The sequence below is a fragment of the Homo sapiens genome, chromosome 18 (assembly GCF_000001405.40).
Source record: "Homo sapiens chromosome 18, GRCh38.p14 Primary Assembly".
NCBI lineage: Eukaryota > Metazoa > Chordata > Mammalia > Primates > Hominidae > Homo > Homo sapiens.
In genome coordinates, this window is record NC_000018.10 from 78,048,313 (window position 1) to 78,056,325 (window position 8,013).

The window sequence follows — 8,013 nt, forward strand, 5'->3', positions numbered from 1 at the left end:
AGGAATGGATCCCTGATGTGTGACTGTACGTCTGCACTCCAGTTTACCCCTCTCCACCATGAATGTGGCCATGCCAAGTTCTTCAGAAGACGTTAGCTCTTTTGGATATACGGATTACATTTTTCCAGTCTATGATTTTAAAAACAAATGTACAGAGATTCTGATTTCAGAGAGATGGAGTAGACATTTTCTTCCCTAGTCTTCCCATGAGGTGCAGCTCAAAACCCTGGATGTCATAGATTAAACACACGTAAGACTCTGAAGATGGAGAGAAGAGGCAGAGTATCCAGGGACTTCAACCGGGAAATGACATGGGAGGGAGTTCACTGGACTTTCCTTCTGCCTCATATATCCCAGGCTTGGAGGTAAAGAAGCCAGCAATCCAGAAGTGCCAGTTAAAAGACAGACTGCATATGTGACTCTAGCCTCATAAGACAATACCACATTTTTGCTGTACATTTTCTGTGTTTAGACACACAAACACCACTGTGTTAGATTGTCTACAGTATTCAGTACTCGCCATGCAGGTGTGTGGGGGCAACGGGCCACACTACACAGCCTGAGTGTGTAGAAGGCTGTCCCATCTAGGTTGGTGAAGAAAAAAGGACAAGTCCTCAGAACAGCTGCTCTCCAGCCAAAGACCCAGGAAAGGGACAGCCCAGCAAGATAGAAAGCTTTTTTTAAATTTTCTTTTGCTGGGGACTTTCTTTTTTACAACTCCATAACATACTATTTCATGACTATCCTTCTGTCTACATTGAGAATAAGCATATTTGTTTACCAAATCTATGGTATACACATTTGAAAAGTGTGCAAGAAGGTGGAGTTTTCTAAGCAGTGTCCAGATTGGGAGTGGGTATTTCACCTGCAACCTGGCATAGAAAGGACCATGCTCAGTCCTGTTTTCAGCTAGGAGCCTGTGTCTGACCTTGGAGCATCCTAGAGAGCTGGTACATCACACCGTGCATGCTTACAATGCCTGCGAGACACCCAAGGCAGACCACAGAGCTGGTACATCACACCATATGCTTGCAATGCCTGTGAGGACACCCAAGGCAGACCACAGAGCTGGTACATCACACCGCACATGCCTACAATGCCTGCGAGGACACCCAAGGCAGACCACAGAGCTGGTACATCACACCGCATTCTTAAAATGCCTGCGAGGACACCCAAGGCAGACCACAGAGCTGCTACATCACACTGCATGCTTACAATGCCTGCGAGGACACCCAAGGCAGACCACAGCGCAGGTCTCAAAACCACCATCCGGGCACCGAAAACCCTGAACTTACAATGCCAGCTCTCTTACATCTCTTACGGGAGCCTGGCAGCATTGGCAATGCTATTTTCCTTCCTGTTGCAGTGATATGATTAGGGTATGCCTGGAGGGAATAATGGTTCCAAAAACATAGAAAGAAAATTTGAAATAAAATAAGAATTCATATCAATAATAGATAAGGCTTATGCAAACCTGGGTTTAGAAACACTTGTGTATATTCGAAATGAGAAGTTAGACAGGAGTTTAGTGAAGTGTTTCTTTTATCTTGCCAGTTTCATTCCTTTTTTGTATACATAGTCATGTCTCAGTATCAGTCGGGGACTGGTTCCAGGACATCTTGGATGTGGAAGTCCTTGATATAAAATTGTGTGGTATTTTTATACAAGCTATGCACACCTTCCTGTGTGCTTTAAGTCATCTCTAGATTACTTATCACACCTGATACAATGTAAATAGTGGTTGTGCTATATGGCTTAGGAAATAATGGCAGGGCAACGTCAGTACATGTTCGGTACAGGTGCAACCATCCTTTCCCTCCTGAATATTTTCTATTGCAGTTGGTGGAAACCACAAATGTGGAACCGATGGAAAAGGAAGGCCAATCATATCTAATCCAAAAATGTGAGCAGAGCTGCTACTTACCAATCTTAAAAAGGGGTGTGAACCCTTGATTTCCTACATACACATCCTACTTCTGGGATTAAAGTCCTACCAGAAGCAGGATTTTTAAAAAATATAAAAATCGATTGTTATTTAAAGATTGGCAATCTCCAGTGTTGTTTGGCTTTGAAACAGACATTTTCAGCTTCACCACTCTTTTTGTTCATGTCGTAAATAATTGTGCACGGAAACACACACACATTATTATATGCTTATTTATGTGTATAATATAATCTAAGGAGATCCAAATTTGTTTCTGGATTTGCATTTTGTAATTTATTTCATGAACAATTAGACACTGTAAAATGGGAGAATTTTTCCTTTTTATTATTTTCAAAAATATTTCTATGTAATGTTAGCTATGTTTTATAATCTGTTAATGAAACAAAGCATGTCTGTTTGTGTGTGTGTTGTGTGTGTATTTGATTTTCAAGAACATATGCAAAATCTCCTCCTCAAGGAGACAGGGCTGAGAGAATTGAACTTTTCCTTTCCCTGTAAACTTCGTGAAACTGTGTATTGGTAGAAGACAGGACTTCTGTGATAGCATGTTGAAATGCTTTTGAAACTGTAAGCATGTAGTAAACTCTTATTGAAAGCATTTTATGTGTCAGGAATTGTGTTGACTTCTGAGAAAATAACAATATTTAAAAATCCATGGACATGACCTGAAGACCTCTTTGACTGACAGAGGGCAAGCTAGCAGTATTACATAGACAGAGTGAAAACGGGGCATCACCAGGCCATGAAACACGTGCAGAGAAGGGGGCGACTGGCTCTGTGTGCTGGGGCAGCAACGGCATTGGGGCATGGAGTGCAGGCTGGAAGGCACTGTGAGGGCTGATGGGGCCAGCAGGACTCAGCAGGAGGAGACCTACCTGTCCTGTGCAACGTTCTCAACATGTGCTCAATCATAAGACAGAAAGGGGTGGTTGGGGAAGGAGACTGGCAGGTGAGAGGGACCCAGGTGAGTGTGCTATAGATGGCGGTGGGGGGGCGGTCTTTGGAGCCAGGCAGGCATGGTGACGGGAAGACTGTGGAACGACGAACCTCCCAGGCTCAACAGCCTGGTCCTAGCAAGGAGATGAATAAATGCACTTACCTCCTATAGCAGCCGATCATGCATTTTTATAATCATTATGATTATTAAAGATCTGGTAGGGCAGACTAGGAAACTTGGAATTTTATTCTTTAAGTGACCCTGCCACAAATCACCTGCTTTCTCGAAATGCACTTGACTGCAGGTGTCTGAGGAAGAGCGAGGGAAAGGCTGGGAAGTTACTAACTGACTCTATTCTAGGAAAACAACAAAACACACACAAATAAACGTGCAAATAACACATCTTTGTCTATATTTATTATGAAGGAATGTAACCTTTTACAAAAAATAATAAAAGGGATGTTTACTTATTGGAAGTCTTATTACTCTAGTTTATACCCTCTATTTTAACATGAGTTGTCTGTTATCTGTCTCTGTCTGTCCGTCTCTCTGTCTTTCTCTCTCTGTCTGTCTGTCTCTCTCTCTTTCTCTGTCTCTGTCCCTGTTGCGCTCTCTCTCTCTCTCTCTCTGGTTTTGTCTCCTATCTCTCTCTCTCCATCTCTCTCTCTCTCTCTCTCTCTCTCATTTTTCTTCTCTCTCACACACGAACAGAAAAACAAAACACAAACCTTCTTGGGCATGCCCATTGGGCATATCTTTGCAAACCTAATACTAACAATACTAATCTATTTATCTGAGAGTAGGAAAAGGAATAAATGTTACAACACATTAGAATTTCTGCTCTCTCAGTGTGTTTAACTGGGGACCAAATTAGTGAAAATCAGATGGAGTAAATTCAGTCCTCGAAAGGGTTATGCCAGGGCTTGGTAAAGAGGAGCACTGAGATGTTATTTGGAACAAACACAAGGTAGGAAATCCTAAAGTAAGGAGAGAGAGCGTAGCTATTATACTCTCTTTTACTTAGAATAAGACAGAAAGAGGACAGGCATTTATTGCATGGCCACTGAATGCTAGGCGTCGTACCTTGTGTAGACGTGTTATCACATATTTTAAGAATATTTCTTAATCTTCGTAAGCCTCAATGTGGTGGATATTGTCATCCTATCTTACAGTCAGGGAAAGATTTTTAGGAGAATCAAGACACAGGTAGCTAATAAGTAGCCCATGGACTTGGTATTCCACCCACGTCCTTCTCTAAATGCTGCGGTGACACAGTCCTCATCGAAGGTGAGTTAGGAGTGAATGTAAAGATGGGTTAAGAATAGGGCCCCTGATTCAGACACAGCTGGACTTCAAATCCATTCACAAGCCCTAATACCTTGGTATAGTCACTTATGCTCTCAAATGTTCACTTTCTTCAGGTTTAAAACATAATAAATTTATTTTAGGGATTAAATAAATACACATGGAAAACATGCAATTTAATGTCCAATGGGGAAAATAATATTATTAAGACAAATACTTTATGTTTAGAATCACTTGGTTATCATTATTATTAGCTACCTTTTGTGGACATTTCATTTCTACTGCAATACAAGCAGCATTTTACAGCACTGGCCTCTGAGGTTTATGATTTAAGTCCTGTTTCCAGGGAAAGGGCAGTAAAGAGGCTTTAGTTGGCTCAAGAATCCAGTAAAACGTGTGCCTGTTCCTACAGTTTTCTAGCATGCTATGAGAAATCTCAGATTTATTTCCATTTGAAGATTTCTGGATTTAACATTTGCATAAATTTCTATTTTTCTATGTGTCCTGGTGATGTCTAGTGCAGTTCTTTTAGGGCAAAGAGGCAAAGGAAAATAACAAGGAGCAGACATAACATATGTAATGCTCTGGCTAAAATATCAACAGGAGTTAAAGACTTCAGCAAGGAAGATATTTAGCAAATCGATAATTTAGACTTCCATTTATCTTTTGGTATCTAATTTTTTTCTTTAAAAAAATGATGATTCAAAACCAATGCTTGAAGTAAGGTCAGTAAAAGTTTACATTAACACCTGTGTCTGACTTCCTATGCATATTGCATTTCAAAGCAAAAACTAGGTTTAGGGCATGCTTCTGTATTCTTATAACTGGAAATAGGGTCGGACCTTCATAAGTGGTTCCTCCTGCTCACTGTGAAAGGTAAAGATCATCTTGACCCCTCAAAGCCTGGCTGTGCTGCACTTGAGATACGGCTGACAGTCGCCTCTCATGGCACATGATCTACGTCTCTATTCATCCCACTTCAACCCCTGCGTTTCTTGTTACGGAATTCACCCCAGATGCTGCAAATGAAGATCATTTAATAAAGGAACCATTCTGGATGCTGCGGACCCCAGAAACAGCAAGTGGGGCCCCCTCACTCAGCTGAAGGAGCAAGGGGAGGAGATGATGCCACTGCAGACTGGGAAGTGGGGCCACTTGGCGAGAACCACAGTTGTGGAGGGGCCCAGCTGTGTCCCAAGAGGTGAAGCTCCGTCTCCTTTTGCCTTTTGGTCTCCTACCAGAGCCCTCCACAGACCGGACTCAACCAGAAGACAGTGACAAAGGGGCCAGGGGAGGCGGGTGTGCACAGCGGGCAGGGTCAGCCTCCAGTGCTCCAAGCAGGGAGAGGGACAGAGCCAGGCAGGCCATGGAGAAGAACTGCAAAAAAGGTGATCAGTAACCATTCGGCGATGTCCCCACTGCGTGGTGCAGAACTCAGCACAGATTAGACCCCAGATAAGAATTTGTTGAATGACCGAATGAATAAATGCTTGTTGGGAATCCCCCCTCCCCGCCAAAAAAAAGAAAAGAAATTACAACATTGCAGCCAAATAAACACTAAGAAAAGTGTTATACAAAAATCCAATAGCAGATCCTTTCTAGTGCATGTCCAGCGATACAGAATAGGATGGACAGGAGAGGGGTGAACCTGGGGACCACTGGCCGCAATCCCCGCCTGTGCCTGAAGAAGATGCAACAGCACAAGTTCCTGTGACCTCAGGCACCTCATATGTAAAATGATGACGACAATGGAACCCCCACCTGGCAGGGCTTCTGTTAGTCATAGGAATGGTGGAGGCGATTAAGAAAGTGCCTGAAATTCTAGCCTGTGTTTGCTAAGTGCTGTTAATCTCACAGTGATCATGGATCATGCATCAGGGAAGGATGCTCGCCGAAGAGCTTTGCTGGTCTCCTGGTAAGGAAGGAAGTTACTCCAGGGAGAGTGTGCCCCCTTTCTTGTTCATCCAGCTCTTAGCTCCCTCACGACCCCTGGGGAGAAAGGTAACTGCATCAGTCATCCCAGAGGACAGGTTTCTGAGATGTTATCTGGGAAAATAGACGTGCCATTTAACTCTATGTAATTTAAATCAAATTGGATATAATGGTTCTTGGTGATGAAGTTTGAAACCTGAAATTTGAAATGAAATATTACCAGCTTTTTGGACATGCCATCCCAGGCTCTTTGCAGGTTTGAGCAGTGGTAGATTGAAGGACATGGGCATGGGGCCAGCACAGTTCCTGGCACACAGTGCTCGGTAAGTGACTTTGAGTGCCTGACACCAAGACAATTGGAACCTGAAACCCATGGTGTTTTCATGCTAATATCATGACACAGCGGCCTGACGTGCACATGCAATAACACTGCATATGTGCCCGGGAAGTATGGCTTTCCAGATGTGTTTTCATATCACTTCCAAAACTCATTTTAAATTTTTGTCTTATGCGGGGGCCTGGGGGGTTGGGAAGGCAGATGGAGCTTGGGGTAATTGGCAGTGAGGGAGAGGAGAGCAGGAGTGGGGGTGGCCCAGCCAATGCCCTTGCCTCCCACAAAGCTGTGCAGGAGGAAGCCTCACAGCCAAGGGCACCAACAGCTCCTCCAGCTGGTCCTCTGTGCAGATTCCCCACACGGAGTGAGGATTTGGGGTTGCTACACACGAAGCTGTCTACATGCCTGCCTGGACCCAACTCTACATATTGTAGGACAAGTCTGAAAACAGGACTAATTATTTATTTACAGCAAATATCAACCAGTGTATGATTTTCATTCCTTGGTACTTCCACCCGGGTGTTGACTTATGTTATAAGCTTAGAGTCACGGTAATGACAAATAAATGTGAGCAACTTCAGATCGTGGTTAAAACTGATGCATATATTCATGCATCCGTGCATTCATTTTCAGCAAACAAGAAGAGCCTCCTGTCTGCGGAGCGCTGCTCTGGGGAGTGGGGCACACCAGGAAAGGAGACAGCCTCCAAGAGAAGATGCTGGAATGAGTCTAGGACCCTGTGAGTCAGGACAGAGGCACAGGAAGCAGCCACACATCAGAATGCGGGGAGGAGGGCAAGAGGGTCACTCTGGCTACAGCATTGCAGAGACGCGTAAGACAGAGAGGAAATGGGGAGGTAGGCAGAGGCCGTATCGCCGAAGGTTTTGTGAGCTGTGTATTAAAAAGCATGGTCTCAATCAGACAAGGGTCAGGCAGGGACTTCTCAACCCTCCTCACAGTGGAATCACCTGTGGACCTTTAGTGACTATCGTTTCGTGGTGACATATTTTGCTTGATGCCAAGGTACTCGTAGGTGCTTAAGGAATGGCTTCTGAGTCATGAAGCTCATAAACCATTCTTTAACTTATATCAGTCAAGGAAGAGTTAACTAATAAAGTGGTTTCAGAGATTATCAGAAAATATTAATATAATTCCAATTGATGAATTCAACAGGAAATGTGAATATCAGAACAGTCTCTTTCTATCTCCTTGCTCTAGCAAGCAGCATTTAAAGTTGAGTGTTGTTTGGCTTAAAAGTGTAATTTATTTTTCACTGCTGAGTTAGCAATACTTAGGCATATTATGCATGCTTAAGAGAGCAGCTTAGTTAAGCTTTAGTGCATGATTCTTAGAAGGTTGTGTTTGAAACTGAATGTGAACGCACAAGTGGGCCAACCTGTGACACAGACAGGAGGTGTCATTGCATAAATTAAGCATCTGCTTCATGCATTGCTGCAACTAGTGAGTTTTATTCATAAAATATTTACACACTATGTTCATAGCTGTTATTGCTCTGTGCCAAGTGAATGAATTTTCTATCTGAAGAAGCAAATGAGTTTC